The sequence below is a fragment of the Homo sapiens genome, chromosome 3, assembly GCF_000001405.40.
Source record: "Homo sapiens chromosome 3, GRCh38.p14 Primary Assembly".
NCBI lineage: Eukaryota > Metazoa > Chordata > Mammalia > Primates > Hominidae > Homo > Homo sapiens.
The window spans coordinates 42,161,339-42,183,468 of NC_000003.12; the positions used below are offsets into that span (position 1 = coordinate 42,161,339).

The 22,130-nt window shown below is 45.0% G+C and overlaps 1 protein-coding gene across 34 annotated transcripts in view; it reads left to right on the forward strand.

Moving 5' to 3' along the window:
- The window catches only part of TRAK1 (trafficking kinesin protein 1), a 212,798-nt gene that overhangs the window by 148,246 nt on the left and 42,422 nt on the right, over positions 1-22,130 (forward strand). For all 34 annotated transcript variants that reach the window (NR_146089.1, XM_047447718.1, XM_017005909.2 and 31 more), the window contains one exon: positions 15,476-15,552. Coding sequence is in view for 33 of the 34 variants with exons in the window: in XM_024453400.2 (XP_024309168.1) it covers positions 15,476-15,552 (77 nt within the window). In the remaining variant the exon portion in view is untranslated. The remainder of the gene's footprint in view (positions 1-15,475; positions 15,553-22,130) is intronic.

A 22,130-nucleotide genomic window follows, 5' to 3' on the forward strand; every position in this document is an offset into this window, starting at 1 on the left:
TTTAGGATGGTCTATTTTCCTGTCTTGGGATAACTTTTTTCTTTTTTCTTTTTTTTGGGACGGGGTCTCACTCTGTTGCCCAGGCTGCGGTGCAGCAGTGTTATCCTGGCTCACGGCAGCCTTGACCTTCTGGGCTCAAGCGATCCTCCCACCTCAGCCTCCCTAGTAGTGAGTAGCAGGGCCCACAGGCACACACCAACTTGCCCAGCTAATTTTTAAAATTTTTTGGTAGAGACAGGATCTCACTAAGTTGCCCAGGCTGGAACTTTTGTTTTCAACATTATTTATAATCAGCCATATACTGAAAGTATTTTTCTTTTGAAGTTACTGTTCTAAAAATATGGTTAACACTTCCCCTCCAGGACAGCTGCAAATATTTTATTGCAGGAAGGGAAGAAACTGGGAGAAGCCAGGGGAGGGTGAGGGACCCAATGCTGAGGCCTGCATTCTGGCTGGTGCCTTTCTGGCCTTGTCTTGAAGGAGATGGGGGAGGGGAGAGGAGTGACGGGATTGAGGATTTGTTAGGTCCCTGGAAGGGATCAGGAGAAAGGTATCCATCTGCCCTTGTAGAACTAGGGCTCCCCCAGATTTAGCTGGATTAGCTTCCTGCCCCTTTAATCTCTGCTGCTTCAAGTGCAGCCAGTGCCCTCATCACCTGTGAGCTTGCTAGAAATGCAGAACCTTAGGCCCCAGCCCAGACCCACTGAGTCAGCATCTGCCTTGTAACAAGATGTCCAGATGATGGGCACGCATGTTAAAGTATGAGATGAGCTGCTGCCTTAAAGCCTAGCAAGATTTTAAAAATACCAGTCATTGAACTGTATGATTCTAGATTAAAGGCTATAAAATATTCTGGAGCAGTATCATATATCCTAGTCAAGAGAGGAAAAAAATTTGTGTTGTGCCCATTTCATGTATATAATGTATATAAATATGTGCTGATATATAAACATATAAATATATATTATATATAAATATATGACGAGAGAGAGACCCTCTCTTTCTCTCTCTCATTATATATTTTGTCAACTAAGTGAAATAACAGGCACTAGAACTTAGAGAAATCACAGTTTATTCTGATCCAGGCTTGAGGACTTGAGCCCAGGAACACAGGCTCAGTATAGACCGAGAATGTGTCCTGAAGTAGACGGCTTGAGACACCATAGATAATGCATTTTCTAATAGGGGGATACGTGTGACACAGAAGGTGGGGGAAGAGGATAGTGAAGCAACAGTTCCTTTCCTGTAATTCTGTTTGGTGCACAGCGATGCTGTACATAAGGTAAATATGCAGTTGAGCAGTAGGGAGAAAGTTTAGGTATCTTAGGGGTCTGGTGGAGGGTGACTGATTTTGTCAATCCTGCCTTTTGTTCTACATCTGATAAACAGGTTTCTGACCAGTTCCTGTCAGCAAAATATTTGACAAACTCTGGTTATACAGGCAAGAGGTCAGCTTTAGTTTATAGGCCTAGGTCTTATTACCCTCGTGCTCATCTGCAGCCATCAGGGGCCACTGTTAAATTTTTCGTTAGAAATTTTCTTTTCCTGAAAATTTATGTAGATACATGTATTAAACTTTTTTAAAAAACCAAGAGCCAGATGATGATGATAGTGAATGTCATTATGCACTTCCTAAGTACTTGGCACCATTTTCAGTGATGTTAAATCTCTGCTGCTTCAAGTGCAGCCAGTGCCTTTATGTGGATTCATGCATTGAACCTTTAAAACATTCGAGGTCAAATACTGTTATTATTCCCATTTTATAGGTTTATGGGAGGAAATGTGAACAACTTGTCTAAAGTCACACAGTGAGTTAAGTGGTCCCAGCCTATTTAGAATGGCTGTAGAACTCTCTGCTCTTAACTATGATGCTAGCAGTTCTCAAAGTGGGGTCCCTGACCAGCAGCATCAGGATCACCTAGGAACTTGTTAGAAATGCACCTTCTTGGAGGCCAGGCATGGTGGCTCACACCTGTAATCCCAGCACTTTGGGAGGCTGAGGCGGGTGGATCATGAGGTCAGGAGTTCAAGACCAGCCTGGCCAAGATGGTGAACCCCTGTCTCTACTAAAAATGCAAAAATTAGCTGGGCATGGTGGCGGGCGCCTGTAGTCCCAGCTACTCGGGAGGCTGAGGCAGGGAATTGCTTGAACCTGGGAGGCGGAGCTTGCAGTGAGCCAAGATCGCGCCACTGCACTCCAGCCTGGGCGGCAGAGCGAGACTCCATCTCAAAGAAAAAAAAAAAAAAAGGCATGGACCTTCTTGGGTCCCACTCCAGACCTACTGAATCAGAAACTGGGGTGGGACCAAGCAAGCTGGGTTTTAACACGCCCTCTGGGTGATTCCAATGCACATTGTCCTGTGCTAATCCACACCTCATAGATAACAGTGTATCTGCCTTATAATCGGATTCAAGGGAAGAGATTTTGCCTTGTATTTGTCATCTTATGATAGATAATTACTGTCTGTTCTCTCCTTCTCTTGTTTGTTTCTATCCAGTTTTCCCTCATACTCCAAGAAATCATTTTTAGCAGTCCTGTAGGTGAGGTGTTAACAGTATTTTTAGGACAGTAACCTCGAAAGAAAAACACTTGCCAACATGCTTCATTTACTTTGTAAAATGAAACAAACTCACTTTTAAGGTTTGCTCCTGACATGAAAGAAGCAAGGCTGTGGTGCAGATCAGAAAGATAGCAACTTAGAAAGTTTGGTGTCATGGCCAGTTTTGCTGGAAACACGTGTATCTCAGAGCAAGCTGGGCAGGACCCCATTTTTCTCTGTCATGATCACACCACCTTTGTCCTGAGTTCACAGGAAGCCAGTCCCATGTGGAGCAGAAATACTCTGTGAGTAGTGAAAATATGTGTGTGGATTTGGATCTAACCGTGTTACCTGGATTTCAAGGTGTTTCTACATTGTCAACTTGCCTAAAAGAGGTGCTTTTGGTTGAAATCTGTAAGATACAATTAGTATTTCAGTTGCTCTGATAGTTACAGATACAGGATACATTTGTTGTTCTCTCCAGGTCACCTTATGGGATAATAGGCACTTTCTCATGTCACTCATTTAATCTTTAAAACAAACTTTCAGGTAAACATTCTCATTTTGCAAGCAAAGCACCTGAGGCTCAGATAGTTTGCACTTGTGTAGAGTCCCTCAGCTCGAAGCACAGAGCTGGGTCTTTGCCCTGCCTTGTGGGGTTCTGTGTTTCACCATGCCCAGGCTCTAAGCTGACAGAGTTCTAGGCCCTTCCCTTGTATTATCTCATTGAATCCTCTTATCCCATGAGGTGGGTGCTCCTGGGAGACCAGGCAGCAGGAGAGGGCTTGGCTCTCACTGTCTTTCCAGGGAGAGGAAATATCCAGGCCCTGGGTCTTCTGGCTCCTGAAAACTTGCACAATGAGAAAGCAAAATTGATCTCAGGTGCTTAGTGACATATTTAGAGGAGGGCTCTTCTGCTTTTCGCAATCCCTCTCCTCACTATGAGATTAAGAGGGCTGAACTGCATGAATGAAATAGTGGGTCCCGCCCTGTCTCAGTGCCTGGGCAGCTGCATGAGGAAAACACTGGTGAAAAGAGAAGTTTCATGGTCACTTCCTTGTGGCCTATTACCTGGCAAATTTCCAGTGTTCTTTTTCTTTTTTCTTTTTCTTAAATGAAATGCATCAAGAAGCCTGACTTTGTAATTTCTTCTCATCAGGTTACTTCCAATCCTATTACCCATTTGCAAAGTGAATCACTAAATTTCTGGCAAATGGTATTCAGGATTGCTCAGGAGAAGGCATGATTTGGATAGAGATGCACAATGGTCTGGAGTTTGCTGAGTGTTCTCATGACCAGGTTTAGGTTCCCCGAGAACACGGGCTGCAGGAGAGAGAATGCATTCCACTTTCCTTAGGGGTGGTTGCTAAGAGTATGTGAGTGGGCAGAGTCAGTCTTCTGCACAAAGGGCAGTTTTGAGGTGTTGAACACTAACCAGACATGATCATCTGGAAAAACGGGTGAAAAAAATGCCAGTCAGTGGTGGGAACCCAGAGCCTTCTGTGTCTATGTCCAGTGGCTGCACCTGCTGGCTGTTCAAATTCTCCATCTGGTTCCCAGGCGAAGCTGGAGATTCAGCACAGATGGAGCACATTTCTCCAGCTTGGGAGAGCATTCCTGGGCTGCAGAGAAAGGACTGGGCCCTGTGGGGGAATAACTGGATCCAGGAGTGCCGTGTCTTGGAGGTGGTTGTGATGCGTCAGGCTTTTGTGGGCTGTGGAGTTGGGAATGTCAGCCCCAGAGAAGGGGCCTGAGTCCTGGGCCTTTGTTAATGTAGTGTCATCGGCAGCACTCGAGGGTGCCGTGCACAACTTTCCCGATGGGTCAGTGTCGAAGGAGGAACTGACCTGGCGCATCAGTACCTACCGCAGCACTGTTACAAAGGTCTCTTGGTTCATGGTTTTCATTGTCCTTGTCTCCGCTTGGGATTTGGTCCTCAGTATCCATGGCTACCCCACGCAGGCCTCCTGTGGGGTCAGTCTCTCTGGGTGGTTCTCCTAATAGTGGGGTACCAGCATCACCCCAAGGCTGGCCATGGACAAAGAGCCTACTCACGTTCTCTGTATTTTGGGGTCCTTTTGCCACTCTGCCCATTTCTGGGGCCTGTCCCGTGTCCCTCTGCCATCCCCAGCTTTCTTGTATCATCTGAGCTGCCTAGCAGTGTCTCTTACCTGACACCTTTCCTGCTTGCTCCTCTGTGTTATGCCAGTTTATGCATGTGCCCTACCTTCTCAACTAGGTCAGGAATTCCTCGAGGGTACGATTCATTTATTTACTTAGCAGACATTGAGAGCTCCAACTTAGGGGTTAGACAGATCAGGCCCTTCCATAATAGCTCTGTGACCTTGGGCAGTTTCTTTCTGTCTAAAATGGGACAGTAGTAATACTTTCCTCATAGGATGGATGTAAACGTTAAAGGAGGTGACATACAGACAACTCTTAACAGAGTGCCAGGCTCATGGTGAGGGTGCCAGAGTGAACCATGTGTTTATTGCCTTATTAAATGTCTTGGTGATAAATGGCCACTATAGATCAACACTGGGTGTTCCAGTCTGGGGCAGGGTGGCTGATTACAGCATCTAGCAAACCTGCTCCAAGTCCATGGTTGTGTCTCTCTCGACCTTGGACGAGCCACTGGCCTTTCTGTCTGGTTTGTTAAATGAGGCTCATATGTATGTTGTGGGCTTCTTCTGAGTTTTAAGTGAAATAATACTTGTAAAATGCCTAGGAAAGCAGTTGGCACATTGTAGATACCCAGTAGTAGTATACTCATTTCATTTATTCTTCTCTGCTTCTTAAATAACTTGTATTGGTGTCCTGCTCTTAGCCTGCAAGGCAAGGGAAAGTGAGCCAGTAGAATAGTCACACTACAACTTCATTAATAGTGATACTGATAAGCAATAAAAGGAAGCCATAGCTGTGCTGTTTTGGCCTCTGTCCTTGGCAAGTGGCACCATGCTCCTGCCTCCTAGTGCAGAGACTAGGCACCACACAGACATGGGTAATGGCTGTACAGACCATTGTTCGTACGGCTCTGGGTCGGTCTCTGCCCCCACTACTGTTCCGGCCACAAGGCTGCCTGCAAAAACAAAGTGACACAAAGAACAAGGAGATGGGGAGTTGCTAAGACAGATGCATTAAAAGGATGGCATCAATTAAGTGGCGTAGTCCTAGGCCAGAAGCAAACGGGCAGACTGCTACTGCTCCTCCCAAGTAAGAGGCGCTGGCTTATCATGCCCCCTCAGGCCTGTCTGGCGTTCAGATGACTTGTGGCCGGGATAGACTCACCAGGACTCATGCTCATCTTGAGGGCATGCACTGTGCACCCGAGCTTTGTTTTTACCCCTCTCTGGGGTGTCGATTAGAAATGAGCTCTTCTTTGCAAGTAGAACAGAGTTTTGTTTTGCTTTTTGAGTGTCAACTGTGGCCCAAAATGAGAAAGACTCAGCTGCCTTCATGTGACCTAAACAGCCCAGGTGGGAAGGGACATTTGTAAGCATTTGTTGGGTTTGTTCTGCCTGCCCTGCTGTAACCATTTTTGACACGAGGACACTGAGATAAGAATAAAAAGAAATTGTTCTTTCTTTTTATTGTAATTGCTGAGAAATGAGCATTGTTTTCTATTACCAAGTACTGTGGGCCCTCACCCCGTTCCAGTGGCCACTTCAAAGTCTTCATCAAAATAGCTACATTTTGTTTTGTTTTTAAAACCAAGTAATGGGCCAGGCACGGTGGCTCACGCCTGTAATCCCAGCACTTTGGGAGGCCGAGGCGGGTGGATCACGAGGTCAGGAGATCGAGACCATCCTGGCTAACATGATGAAACCCTGTCTCTACTAAAAATACAAAAAATTAGCTGGGCGTGGTGGTGGGCACCTGTGGTCCCAGCTACTCGGGAGGCTGAGGCAGGAGAATGGCATGAACCCGTGAGGCAGAGCTTGCAGTGAGCTGAGATCACGCCACTGCACTCCAGCCTGGGCGTCACAGCCGACACTCCATCTCAAAAACAACAGCAACAACAACAAAAAAACCAAGTAATGTGTGTCTTAGGGCTTAGTAGTTAATTCACTAGGACTATTTGGTCAAGTCTAAATTACTGAGGGTCAACAGGCAAGTGAGAGACTTGGCGAAGCCTTCAAGGAGGTGGCTATAACTTGGGAGAAGATAGAAGAGGTTTATGCCTAGGAAAAGAGTTCAAAGTCAAATTCTTCTCAGTTATGGCTGTATCATGAAATTATTTCTGTGATCTGACTAAATTTTATTTAATAACAATTTTCTAATTTTAAAATAGTCTAGTCTAAGTGGGGCAGATTAGTACCTTTATGTGCTGTTTATCAGTGCTAGTTTCTTAGTGGGTGATTTGCCATTTCTAAACAATTTTGCTATGTGATAACATCATTGTGGACCCAAGGAAGTCCAAGTCAAGGGTTGAGACAATACAATAATGTTTTTACATTGTCATGTAACAGGGAAGTGGCTGGAATATGGCATGGTTCGGGGATGCTTGCTTGAGTGTCATTTATTTGGTAACTTAAATATCACCCATTTTAACTAGACAATTCAAAGATTTTCGTTAAATTCACTGAGTTGTGCAACCATCACCATAATTCAGTTTTAGAACTTTGCATTCCCCCAGCAAAGATCCTTTGTGCTTGTTTACAGTTAGCTCCCATTTCCCACTTCTGATCCTTGGCAACCACTAATCTGCTTTCTTTTTTTTTGAGACAGAGTCTTCACTCTGTTACCTAGGCTGGAGTGCAGTGGCACAATCTTGGCTCACTGCAACCTCCACCTCCTGGGCTCACCCACCTCAGCCTCCTGGGTAGCTAGGACTATAGGCATGCCACCACATCTGGCTAATGTTTTTATTTTTTGTAGAGATGGGGATTTGCTATATTGTCCAGGCTGGTCTCAAACTCTTGGGCTCAAGTGATCTACTTTTTAAAAATTGTTGTTATTTTTTGAGATGGAGTCTCACTCTGTCACCCAGGCTGGAGTGCAGTGGCAGGATCTCAGCTCACTGCAACCTGTGCCTCCCAGGTTCAAGCGATTCTCCTGCGTCAGCCTCCCAAGTAGCTGCGATTAAAGGCATGTGCCACCATGCCCGGCTAATTTTTGTATTTTTAGTAGAGATGAGGTTTCACCATGTTGGCCACGCTGGTCTTGAACTCCTGACGTCAGGTGATCTACCCGCCTTGGCCTCCCAAAGTGCTGGGATTACAGGCATGAGCCATGGTGCCCAGCAAAGTGATCTATTTTCTTTCTTTCTTTTTTTTTTTAAGTGATCTATCTATCTCTATAATTTTCCTTTTCTTATACATTATATGAATGGAATCATACAATATGTGGTATTTTCGTGTGTTTTTTTTTCTGAGCATAAGGATTTTGGGTTCATACTATAGCATGCATGAACTTCATTCCTTTTTATGACTCAATATTCCATTGTATGGACATACCTACTGTGTTTATTCATTCACCAATTGATGGACTTTTTTGGCTATAATGAATGATGCTGCTATGAATGCTTATATACATATGTTTATGTTTGTGTGTGCATATATGGTTCCATTTATCTTGAGTAGATACTTAGGAGACTTTAAAAAGTCTTCGTGACCTTAGGCAATTCACCTGACTTCTCAGAGCCTCAGTTTCCCTGTCATATAAAATGTGGTGATACAGCTACTAGGGAGGCTGAGGCAGGAGAATCACTTGAACCTGGGAGGCAGAGGTTGCAGTGAGCTGAGATCGCGCCATTGCACTCCAGCCTGAGCAACAAGAGCAAAACTCCATCTCAAAAAAAAAAAAAAAAGTGGGGATAAAAGTATAAGTTACTCTCAGCACTGTATCTGGCAGAGATAAGTGGGCATTGCTGCTGTAAGCTGAGTCACAACAGCCATTTGAAGATGTTCCCCTGATCAAAAGTGCTTTGCCAAATCAGCCTGGTCTAGGTGTCTGGGCAGACTGTAAAAACTACAGATTTTACAAAAGTGGGCAGAAGAGCTGACACTTGGATAGGGTGTCAGCTACAGGGAGGCACCTTCTTTTTGGCCTGTGGGAAGAGCAGGAAATTCCCAGATGGAGAAGTGAGAGAAAGACAGTCCGTACGAGAAGGAAATGGCAGGCACACAAGTGCGAGGCCAGACATCTGAGAGTGGCATCACTGGGTGTGGAGGAGCTATGGTGAAGAGTGAGCTTGGGTGGCAGGGGACGAGGCGGGAGGGTTGGGCTGGGCCAGGTAGGGATGGTCCCTGTATGTCCTGTGTGTTGAGGCTGCTGCTTGTAGGAGGTAGAAGAGCTGGGGAAGATTATTAAGCAGAGCAGGGACTAATTAAGTTCAAAAGCTACAAGCTTTTAACAAACCTTTAAAGGACATCTATTTTGTAATGCCTGGAAACTTGGATGACTGGTGACTCATTTAGAATTTTATGGAAAGCTTTTTAGTTCCCAGGTTCTGGGACCCCAGGTTGGCTCCCAGGTTCTGAACCTCTGTCCCCTGCCCCTGTGAACAGTGCAGACAGTAAGTGCTTATTAAGTTTACTTCCTGGGGCATCAGGTGCCAAATGTAGTATTGCTTTTTCATCCTGACAGCTGCTGCTGCTATCAAAAGCGAGAGGTAATCAACTGGTTTGTGGACCATTCTTTTCTTTGGCACCTAAGTACCAGCTCTGTTTCAACTGGGTATATCAGAATTGCTAGGGATACGTGTCTACTTTGAATGTTTATTCAATCCCTTTGCAGTTTTTATAATGAAAATTATAGAAAATTGACTTTTAAAAACACTGATGCTAAGGTGTAGAAGATAGGAGGAAAAATTATTGAGGGGAGGGTGGAGCTCAGTTTCTTGATAAAACTTTGGGAAACACTGTTTTAATTAAAGAAATGACCTATATGTAAGGCAGAATGCAAACAGCCCCAAATGCAAATATATCAGGCAGTCTTGAATATCTTTTTTTTTTTTTTTTTGAGACAGAGTCTTGCTCTGTCGCCCAGGCTGGAGTGCAGTGGCATGATCTCGGCTTACTGCAAGCTCCGCCTCCTGGGTTCACACCATTCTCCTGCCTCAGCCTCCCCAGTGGCTGGGACTACAGGTGCCTGCCACCACACCCTGCTAATTTTTTTTTTGTATTTTTAGTAGAGACGGGATTTCACCGTGGTCTTGATCTCCTGACCTCATGATCCGCCTGCCTCGGCCTCCCAAAGTGCTGGGATTACAGGCGTGAGCCACCGCGCGTGGCCCTGAATATCTTTTCTACCCGTTGCTACTTGGTGTTTGAGTTATAAGTGTCTTCTTGAGGGTTTGGGAGGTTTTTCTTTTTATATGTACACACATATGTACATGTGTGTGTAAAATATTCATTTATTCATGCCAGAGATATGTAGAGCTGACATCAATGGGAGGAATGTTACCAGAATTAGGTTAAGTAGTGATGAGAGTTATTCGTTCTAACAACGTTATGAGAATCTTTTCCTCCAAAATACATGAATGGGAAGTGAGGTTTTCTAACTATATTTTCTTAAAGAAGACTGATAAGACCAAAATGTCAAGAAAGCTTTTATCAAGCTTGTTAATTTGACACACACCATAGAGACACAGGGTCCCTTGGGGAGGGCAGGTTGCTGTGATGGAACTGTAGAGATTCTCCCTACCCACCCCTCGGGTTAGGCCTCTAGGTTCTGCCTTCTGCCTGGGTCTTAGATCTTTTGCTCCAGCCCCACCACTCCCTGAGCTCTGCTCCTTCCCACTTCTCCCGGCTCATTCAGAAGCCCTGGACAGTGTCAAGATAGAAACCCCAATGCCACACCACCTTTGTTTTCTTCCCATGGGGTTTTCCTCGGGGTCTTCAATTCCAGTCACTCCTGAGCTTCCCACTGGCCAGATCTCCTTGGCATCAGGCAGGGGCATGTTTCTGTTCTCTTCTGGGCCTGCACACCGTATGTTTGGGGTTTTTTGGCTGGCATCTCCTGGATGCTGGAAGATGGGTGCCAACATTTATTCTTAAAATTGTTTTGAGCATGGTTTAACTTAGCATAAAGGCTGCTTTACTTGTTTTCAGACTAAGGCACTCCATGGAGCTCACTCCACCTCCATCCCCCCTCTCCGTCCCCATTAGCTGTGACAGCCCAGTCATATGTCTCCCTCTCTCTGATCAGCCAGCCCAGGGCTCCTCGTTTGAATTTGGCTTCGTAATTCCTTACTTTACTTGGCATCCCAAGAAGAAGGACTTGATTCTCCTCTTATCTCAAAGTGGATTCTCCCAAACCAAAAATCTCCCTCCTCCAGCTCCTAGGAGGGTGTTTCTGTCAGGCAGACCTCCTGCCACTGTGGGTTGTGGGCAGCCCTCTGCCTGGCACATTATTACACAGTGACATCAACTACTGTCCCAGTGCCAGTGGTTTCTTGGGGGCACCGCATCTTGCCTCTGACTTTCCATCTCATGCCCATCTTGAAAGGGGACATCACTCTTGTCCTTGTTGTCCCAGTGAGAAGCCCTGATCAGTGCTTTTTGATTTACCTCCCACTCAGTTTTAGTTCTTAAATCTCAGGATAAGAGCCCACTCCTTGCCACCTACAATTTCCTTGCATTAATCCAACAGCCTCAATGCTTGTCAATCTAAATTGCCTTGCACCCCCTCCCCCATTGCTGCACACTGGAGCCAAAATGCTTCTGAAATATAAACCTTATTGCATAACCCCCCTTCAAAAACTCTCTAGTGGTTTTCCATTTAATTCCACCCTTCTTAAAGCTACTTGTCAGGCTTCGAACCCCCTGAGCCCCATCCTCCAGGCTGCCCTGTTTTCTGTGTGCCCCAGGAGGGCAGGTGTCCTGCCTTGTTCAGTGCAGAGCTTGGTGCGTGGTAATGGTTGTTTGGTGTTAGTCAGAGGTGAGGCGTGTGTATTTTACTATGGTGGGTAGGCAGCAAGTTGCATTTAACTTCTTTTTCTAGGAGATGGACCATAATTTTCTTATATTAAATTATCATAGAGACTGAGCACGGTGGGTCATGCCTGTAATGCCAGCACTTTGGGAGGCCGAGGCAGGTGGATCACCTGAGGTCAGGAGTTCGAGACCAGCCTGGCCAACCTGGTGAAACCCCATCTCTACTAAAAATACACTAATTAGCTGGGCATAGTGGCAGGCACCTGTAATCCCAGCTACTTGGGAGGCTGAGGTGGGAGAATCGCTTGAACCAGGGAGGCCGAGGTTGCAGTGAGCCAAGATTGCGCCATGGTACTCCAGCCTGGGCGACAGAGCGAGACTCTGTCTCTAACAAAAGAAAAAAAAATTATCGTAGAGGTTTATGGTGGCTCCTTTATTTTGCTTTTCTTTCTTTTTTGAAACATCTTTTGGGTGGAAGTGGATTTATTTGGTAGCACTCCTTGGGTCAGAAATGGAACTTCTCTTTGAAATACATTCTTATAGAGAGAGAAACTTGACCACGGTTGATTGAAGATTTAGTGCCTAGGAAGTTGGTATTTGAAAAGCATAACCTGTGTTTATGCTGTCTGAAGGCATGGTTTATTATTTTTTCACCTTCATTGGTCTCACTCTTGCTTCCTTATTTCTTGGAACAGGAAATCTAAAACCTAGAAGTTAGTTGGTGGCTGCTCAGAGCCCCTTGGCTTGGATAGAGTCTCCTGAGAAAACCTAAGCCTCTGAACCCAAGGTCAGGGTTCTTTCTTTCCCCTAGGCCCAAATGCTGCTCGCTCTGTTTACACACTTCCTACACATCGATGGTTTGTGCCTTGCTCTCGTGTCCTTTATGGTCTTCCGTTTTAGTACAGGAGCCAGACTGGCCTCGGTGCAGTCTCTGCAATGCAGCCTCATTCTCTGTGACCTCAGTGGGGTCCTTAACATCCAGATTCTTAATGTCTCAGAGCCTCAGTTTTCTTATCTGTGGAGTAGTCATCGCGACTACCCTGCAGGGTTGTTGTGAAGATTAATTGAGAAAGCATGTTAAATCCCTTGACATGATAGGGGCACCATCGGTGTTAGCTGCTACCTCTACCGAGAGTCTGTTATTTTGACATTTGCCACCTGCTAGCTGTGTGACATTGGGTGAGTTATTCAGCGTCTCTGGGCCTTAGTTTTCTGTTGTAAAATGGTGTTAATATAAGTGCTTACCCCTTATAGTATTGCTCTGAAGATTACATAAAATAATCCATATAGAGGGTTATGAATGGTGCCTGGCCATGGTCACTGTGCTTAGTAAAGGTCAGCTCACTGCAACCTCCACCTCCCGGGTCCAAGCAATTCTCCTGCCTCAGCCTCCCAAGTTAGGATTACAGGCATCTGCCACCACGGCTGGCTAATTTTTGTGTTTTTAGTAGAGACAGGTGTGCATTTTATTGGGTTCAATTTTTAAAATATTTTAAAGCTTTATAAAATAGCAACACAAGGGGTCCTTGTAAGTGGTAGATACATGAACCAACACAGGTAATAAAATTACATAGAGCTTAATACACACATGTGCACACAAATAAGTGCAAGTAAAACGGGAACTCTGAGGAAAAGTTATGGATTGTATCAGTGCTGATATCCTGGTTGGGATATTATGATCTTGCAGAATGTTACCATTGGGGGAACTGGATAAAGGGTATACAGGATCCCTCTGTATTATTTCTTCAAGATGGAGTCCTGCCCTGCTGCCCAGGCTGGAGTGCAGTGGCACGACTTCTGCCTCCCGGGTTCAAGTGATTCTCCTGCCTCAGCCTCCCGAGTAGCTGGGACTACAGGTGTGTGCCACCACACCTGGCTAATTTTTGTGTGTATATATATATATACACACAAAATTTTTATATATATGCAAAATTATATATATACAAAAATATATATAAAATTTTATATATATACAAAAATTTTTTTTTTAGTGGAGACAGGGTTTTGCCATGTTGCCCAGGCTAGTCTCGAATTTCTAACCTCAAGTGGTCCATCTGCCTTGGCCTCGCAAAGTGCTGGGATAACAGCCATTAGCCACCTCACCCGGCCCCCTCTGTGTTATTTCTTCTGTCTGCTTGTGGTTATCTACACATGACTGACTATCTGAATAATTACAGTTACCTTAATTCAAAAACTTAGCCTTAAAAATTTGAGTATTATCTCTAAATAATATAGTGTTAGAGAAATAGCAGCTCTGAATCTTCTTGTACAGATAATAGAGCCAGGTTAGTTAAAAGGTAGCCCAGTTTTCTTTTTTTCCAGGAAGGCAGAGGACTCAGTTTTTTGAGGAGAGTGGGCGCCGGTGAGTGGGGATAAGCAGGCCCTCAAGTGACAACACAAATTTAAACACAGAGACCACTTAGTTGCTGTGGTCTGTTACCTGGTGTATAAAGGGTGCTGCAGATGCTTTGGCGTGCTGGCTGGGGGGCCCCAGGGTTTGTATCTGCACGCCTGCAGACCATCACAGCTGTGCGTGAAGAAGACTAACTCGGGTTGGTAGCATAGGAGTCTTCACTTAAGCACTTGTGTGACCTCGAGCTGATGGACTATCTAGAGCAATTTGAGCTGGACTTCATCTACATCAAATTAGATCCTGGTTTAAAGCTACCCTTATAAATCTCCCTTGCTTCTCCCTCCCTGGCAGCTCTGTCTGAGGCAGCATATTTCCCCCCACGCTTGGACAGGAGGGATCTCATGAAAGTGTTGGGTGGAGGGGTCTTGTCTGCTGGCTCTGGTGGCACTGTCTTGGTAGGGTTTCAGATTTAGAACCAGATTTCAGGTCTCCTCCCTAAGTTAGAAAATCATTCCAACAGATCCGATTTCTCTGAGCTAATTTACTAGGATGATCTCTACTTGCATTTAATAAAATATTCAGAGACCTATTGAATTCCAGTTGCTGTTTGCCATTTGTAATGCTGCTGAGTTTGACTTAGTAATACACTTCAATTCCCAAATGTGTCGCATGGGCTGTTACTGAATGTGGGTCATTAGGAAAGCTTTGACTCTTAACAGAATTATTCACTGAAGTCTTAGTTACAAAACATTACTAAGAAGTTATTTATTTAGTCCCAAAGTGACAGGTTTCAAAAAATTTTGCACGTTGGCTGGCCATAAATCCATTTATATTCACTCCTCCCCCAATAGAATAAAACTTACGCTACCTTCTTGGTGTTTGTTGAGCGGCGAATCAGTTCCTTGTCACTGATTTAAAATAAAACAACCCTGATGTATCTTTAGCAGACAAAAGCGTTCTTTTGTTTCACAACCCATTTCTCCAACGGAAGAAGAACAAAGACCCATAGTCCTAAAGTGCTTGTGTGCAGCCTTGTATGACCACAGTAAATTGTACATGTAATGAAATATTACTCTGTGTGTGTGTGTGTGCAATCATAGTAGTCTTTTTAATGTATATTTAAAAAATAACAACCTAGTTTTCATGGTATGGAGCTGGTTGCATAACCTTAGAATGTAGGCCACTTGAGGAGGAGGGGGCTATGCCATTATGAAATTATCAGTTTAAGACTATTGTTTAATAATTATGCCAACAGCTGCTTTCTGAAGGATCCCAGTCTGTTCGTATGGTTGGGTCTGTATGGTTAGTGGAGTCTAAATCCTACAGGCCTTTCTGATCATTCACACATGGGTGGCTGTGCTACTGGCCCCCACCCCACCTACTTCAGTTTGCTGAATATCTGTGAGGCCAGACCCCCTTCCACTCCATTGCTTCACCCTCAGCACATGCTCATACACACAGACACACAATGTCAAGGTTTCACAGGGGTTACGAGTCCCCCTACCCCCAGACTCATCCTCCAGTCGTTGGAACTGGGAAATGAAGTCTGGTGGTGGTGAGTACATTGCGGGTTGAACCCAGCGAGCCAGTGACCCTCTGTGTCTAATGTGCAGGCACAACATTAGGGGCACTTTTTTAGATGAGTCATTTGTTTGGCAGGTTTGTGACATTGGGAGTCTCATTGTCATTTTTATTTCTTACAGTTTTATGTGCTGAAAGAGTTGGCCAGATGACTAAGACATATAATGACATAGATGCTGTCACTCGGCTTCTTGAGGAGGTAAGTGCTCCAGGGGAAGGCAAAAGAGTTGTTTATAATTGACTGGTTTTCATGGATACTGATTAAAGCATGCCTTATCACCTGTTTCAGTGAGGAATCTTGGAAATTGGTCTCTTTCGAGGTATAATTTAATGGCTTTACTTTTTGAACTAGTAGCTATGTAGGCCTTTATAGCTGTAATTGTGTGCAGATATTTTAAAGGAATATATTAATGGCACCAAATGTGGTGTGTTTAAATACTTGTTAGAATATCCAGTTGTAAGTATAAAAAATCCTGAAACATTGACTAATGATATATTTTAAGTGCATCCAAAAAATGTCAGAAAAATATATCATATCTGTGTCTTCCTAATGTATTTAAGTTTTTACTTAGGCTAGTGGAATATTGTGCAGTGTCAGCGTGGAAATAAGTAAAATAAGCATGGCAAGAAAAATTTAAGAAAGTTGCTTAAGATTAGGTGAGCTGCCTGTATTTTAGAGACTGTAGTTTTCTGAATTTCTCGGTATTCTGTTGCAATTGAGAATTAAGTATTATGAAGGTCTCTAGAAACAGATGAGTATAATATGTGTATGTGCATGCCTGGAACAGGCCAGAACATGGTGGGTTCTTAGTATTTGTTGAATAAGTCTCCATCATTAATGCACTGCCCCCTTCACTGAATCAGGCCTTAAATGGACAGGTGCTGCCTTCTAGACCCTTGCTTCTGATCTGGAATCTGGAATGATTTTGGGGCGTGTGACTATGATGTGGAGGACACAGAAATCATTGTTACTGTTTTCAGCCAGTGGGAGGTCAGGGTTGAAGCTCAGACAGAAACTGGGCCAGACTCGTTTCCCAGAGGTTTTTCTGGAGTGTGTGGCATTCTTCCACCGTTTTTGTGTGTCTCTCTTCCCATGTCTCTACCGCTGCACATCCAGCATTCTCTTCCTGGTCCTGCCATCCACTCCTGTTTGATCCTCTGACGTGGGGAAGTCACAAACTCATCAGCTCCCCAGAAGTGATGTCAGGGTTTTTGGCTATGTGACAGGGTGTCAAGGGCGGTATTTTGGGGGACCGACCTTCAGCCTTTGGGTGTCACTCCAGTTGCAGCTGTCTTTGGTGTTAGCCACGTGGCAGGCTGCCTTGGTTGGCACCACCGACTTTTGAAAATGGTTAATCACTGACCCCTTTCTGCTGCATCTGTTTCCCCCAACAGTGCTCTCCAGATCTTACAAAGTGCTTCCGGCACCCGCTCATCACCCCGTTCGGGTCATTGAGTCTTCTGAGAGGGGTCCTAATCTGTACCTTTATTTTTATTCCAAGGCGGCCACCACTCAAGCTCTTGGGGCCTCAGCAGTGAGATTGTAGCTTCTCTCTGCTTTACTCTTCCTTGCAGCTGCCACCGTCCATGCCCTCTGTGACCCGCTCACCCTTTCTGTAAAGCTCCTCGCTGTGTAGTCAAGGCCACCCATTGCTCAAGGTCCTGAACCCTCCTCTTCACTGTCCTGAACCTTCACTGTCACTGGGGACATGGCTCCTGCTCTCCCGCCCTTGGCCTTCTATGGCATTTAACTGCGTTGGTTCTTTCCTGCTTCTCAGTCTTGTGCTGCAGGGCCTGCCGGGGACCTTTGAAGATGGCCCCAACTCCATCCCCAGGTAGTCTGTGCCCTTGCTGAGCCCCAGGCATAGGAGTCACCCCATAGTCCTGTTTGTTTTGTTCATCCAGCTGGATGAACAATTTATTTTTTATTTTTTGTGGAGGCGGGATCTCCTTATATTGCCCAGGCTGATATTAAACTCTGAGGCTCAAACAGTCCTCCTGGCCTGGTGCAGTGTCTTATGCCTATAAATCCCAGCACTTTGGGAGGCCAAGACAGGTAGATCACTTGAGCACAGGAGTTTGAGACCAGCCTTGCCAACATGGCCAAACCATGTGTCTACAAAAAATACAAAAATTAGCCAGGTATGGTGGCCTGTGCCTGTAATCCCAGCTACTCGGGAGGCTGAGGTAGGAGGATCGCTTGAGCTCTGGAGGTGGAGATTGCCGTGCACCGAGATCATGTCACTGCACTCCACCTGGGCACCAGAGCGAGACTCTGTCTCAAAAAATAAAACAAAACAAAACAAAATTAGAAGCAAACTACAGCCACTGTTTATTTGAATCTCTCACATTTTTAAATTAAAAAATTCTCTCACCTTGACCTCCCAAAGTGCTGGGATTATAGGCATGAACCACCGTACCCAGCCTGTTTTATTTTTAAAGGGTCTTCATGGCAACAGCGTCTGTTTATGTCTTTGTGTTCCATGTCTAATGCCATTCTGTTCCTGTCCTGATAAGATTCATGCCTGAGTTACTGCCTTTCCTTGGAACTAGGAGGGTGTCCTGGTTAAAGTCTAACTGTCCCAGTCATGTGGCTGTTGCACTGTGCGGTGGTTTTCCTGGGCTTTGGCTCTGTTTCTTCTGTTCTCTTGCTATGATTTCCATGCCTGCCACAGGCAGGCAAATGGGGGATTCGCACAGGATCCCAAAGCACAGCCTTCCACCAGCGTGGAGAGTTCGCTTCTGGTTTTAAGGGGAAGAGGATGCTGTGGCTCACCTGGGCTTGCTGCTGTCTGGAATGCACCTTTGGGCAGAGCTTGCCTCCTCCTCGGTTACAGAGAGGGTGATTCCACTGGCCCCTTAGTCATGCTTTTTATCCTGAAATTGGTGAATGAGATGAGTCAGTTGCTAAGTGTAGGCGGCAGGCTGTTTGGAATCTCTAGTGGGTGTGTCAGTCAGTGCAAGAGTTCATTGGTAAAAAGGGGCTGAGACTCAAGTTACAGTCTTTTTTAAGTCTATGCTTTTAAAGCATAGTGAGGAGAGGGAGCAGGCAGTTAGAATGAGCTCTACCTTGCCTCATTTCTTGGGGGAATAAAGGAACTAGTTCTTTTAATACCTTATTTCCAAGGGCCTAAATTACTTGTTTGTGGTCTCTTTTTCTCATTGTAGTTTAATCCAGTGGCCATCTTCTAGCTGTTTTCTTGTTTTTATCCTTTTTTTTTGGTAGGGATGGTGTCTCACTATGTTGCCCAGGCTGGTCTTAAACTCCTGGCCTTCTCAAACTCCTGATTCTCCCACCTTGGGCTCCCAAAGTGTTGGGATTACAGACATAAGCTGCCACGCCCAACCTGTTTTCTTGTTTTTAGAAGTAAACATTAATCATATTTTGGCTAGAGAAATGGGAGGTTTTTTTCATTCTTATAATTCTCAAAGAAAAACCCAACCAGCTTGTTGCCTCAGTAAAATTAAAGAGAAAAAACTAGAGACACTACAATAACGTTTCTGTTTAAATTTTCATTTTATCTATAAATATTTTTAATGTAACTTTTTATTTTCAATTTTTTAAGTACATAGTAGGTATATATATTTATGGGGTACATGAGATACTTTGATAAAGGCATATGCTGCATAATAATCACATCAGGGTAAATAGGGTATCAGGCTGAGCAACGTGGCTCACACCTGTAATCCAGACACTTTGGGAGGCTGAGGTGGGAGGATTGCTTGAGGCCAGAAGTTTGAGACCAGCCTGGGTAGCATAGTGAGACCCTGTCTCTACAAAAAGTTAGACGCTGTAACTGAAGAAGAGGAAAACTTTGCCCAAACCTGCATTCCAAAAATTAGATAGGCATGGTGGTGCATGCCTGTGGTCCTAGCTACTCAGAAAGTGAAGTGGGAGGGTTGCTTGAGCCCAGGAGTTTGAGGCTATGGTGAGCTGTAATTGTGCCACTGCACTCCGGCCTAGGCGATAGAGTGAGACCTGTCTCAAAAAAAAAAAAAAAAAAGAAAAAGGAAAAAAAGGTGGAGGGTGGAGAAAGAAAGGGATATCATCACTTCAAGCATGTATCATTCCTTTGTGTTACAAACATTCCAATTATACTTGTAGGTATTTTTCAATGTGCAATAAATTATTGTTAATTGTAACCACCCTATTGTGCTATCAGATACTAGATCTTATTCTAAGTATATTTTTATACAATTTGCTGTGACTTCTTGCTTTTTCTTCTGGCAGAGAGTGTTCTTTAAAATTACTCTAAAGATTACATTTCTGGTATAGACCAGGGAAGTGTTTGTCCTTAGTGGGGCAAGAAGAGGCGAGGCAGCCCTTAGGTGCAGGGTTTGAGGTGTGACAGGTAGGACAAAGGACTTCATTGTTGAGCTCATTGCTCTACTTGTTTCTCTTTCCCTTCCTGTCTCCCAATTCCTGTTGGTTTCTGGCCGTTTGTGTGCTGGAAGCCTTCCGCATCCTTCAGGTGCTCTGGCAGTCCCTTGCCATGCCTGAGCCATCTTCATTATTATGCTGTGTGCTTGATTTGTTTGCATTGAAATGTGCGTACAAAATGCGGCTAAAGGCCGGGCGCAGTGGCTCACGCCTGTAATCCCAGCACTTTGGGAGGCTGAGGTGGGCAGATTACTTGAGGTCAGGAGTCCGATACTAGCCTGGCCTACATGGTGAAACGCCATTTCTACCAAAAATACAAAAATTAGCTGGGCGAGGTGGCGTGTGCCTGTAGTCCCAGCTACTTGGGAGGCTGAGGCAGGAGAATCACTAGAACCTAGGTAGCGGAGGTTGCAGTGAGCTGAGATCATGCCACTGCACTCCAGCCTGGGCGACAGATCGAGACTCCATATCAAAAACCAACAAAAAATGTGGCGAAGGCATGCAAAATATCAGCGCTTGTTGGAACTTGGCAGCCTGGATGCATGAAGGCAATGCAGACCAGGTAGTCAGGTAGTGAGCTGAGGAGCACTGATGAAGCAACTGCTGAGTGTTCAGTCTGAGAACTAGTTCTAGTAGAGACATTAGGTAGACTTGAGTTAGATTTTTGGAGACTATACTTCCAAAGAGAAGTGAACATTGGTATTGCAGTTTTAACCAAATCCACCTGAAACCACTTGGACTAGGTGCTAATTTTCAGTCAGCCTCTGGAGACTTTAATTCTGTGCAGTCTCCCTCACACAGTTCTTTGAATCCTTTCCTCTAGGTACCTAATAAGCACAGCTGTTGAGTCTGAGAAATGACAAAGGGCCATGAAATAAGGTACCTTTTTTTTTTTTTTTTTCAATTTTGTGTTTTGAGATGGGGTCTCCTGTGTTGCCCAGGCTGGTCTTGAACTCCTGTGCTCAGGAGATCCTCCTGCCTTGGCCTTCCAAAGTGCTGGGATTACAGGCATGAGCCACTGCACCCGGCCAAGGGAACTTCTTGGTAGACACTGACCAGTGTGGATAAATGTGCAGAGATGAGCATCTCTGTTGATGGGGCAGATGCACCGTGTCCCCTTTGCCCCGTGAGAGGGCCGTCTCCACATGTACTGTGTTCCCAGAAAGGCAAGGTCATGATGGGGAGGCACAAATTGTGGGAACGAGTTGGGGGATTTGCAACTCTCTCTTTTTTTTTTTTTTTCTTTTTTTGAGACAGAGTCTCTCTCAGACACTCAGGCTGTAGTGCAGTGGGGTGAGTGAGCCCCGCCTCCTGGGTTCAAGTGATTCTCCTGCCTCAGCCTCCCGAGTCGCTGGGATTACTGGCTCCCGCCACCACACCCAGCCAATTTTTGTATTTTTAGCAGAGACGGGGTTTTGCCATGTTGGCCAGGCTGGTCTCAAACTCCTGACCTCAAGTGATCCCAAAGTGCCGGGATTACGGGTGAGAGCCACTGTGCCTGGCCTATTTACAGCTCATTTTTGATACTGTGATACCTGGCTGGCTTGTGGGACTGTGGTGACAGCATTGCCAGTTTGGGGACTGTGGAAGGCCTGGAGGAGAGAGACCATCATCCTGCAAGAGGGAGCCAAAGTGCTGTTGAATCCAGTCTTCTCAAACTGTACTTGACCTCAAGTGCTGCGCTCATACTGCAGTGAAGTTCCTGTGGTTAGCAAAGGGAGATGTCTGCTATTGCATGGAATAATTGGGTGGCTATCCAAGACGTTAGAAATAAAAGCGGATTTTTCTCTTTATTCTAAAACTCAGTGAATCATAAAGCTAGAGAGTTTTTCCAGAATATCTCAGCTAGCCTGCACCTTTACTCTACCTTCATTTAACAGTTGAGGGAACCTATGTTCAAGTAGGGAACCCATACTCTCCCAGTTTACAGTAGGATAGTTCACCTGGAGCAGTTCAATTTGTGACCAGTACCTGCTGTAAGAAACACAGCTTAGGTTGTGACCCAGTACTCATATAGGTGAATATGTGACAAACAACAGTTTAAACATGAAATAATATTCTTATTACATATAATGCACTTTGGTGTTTTCAATTCTGTGCCATTGTATTTAAGTTAAAACAAAATGTCGGTTGCTGTTACTAAAATGGTTTCTTAACCCACTAATGAGTTTGAAACCTGTGGCCTGAAAAATGAATCTGTTGGCCTGGCGCAGTGGTTCACACCTGTAATCCCAGCATTTTGGGAGGTCGAGGAGGGCGAATCACCTGAGATCAGGAGTTTGAGACCAGTCTGGCCAACGTGGTGAAACCCTGTCTCTACTAAAAATACAAAAATTAGCTGGGTGTGGTGGCACATACCTGTAATCCCAGCTACCCAAGGGGCTGAGGCAGGAGAA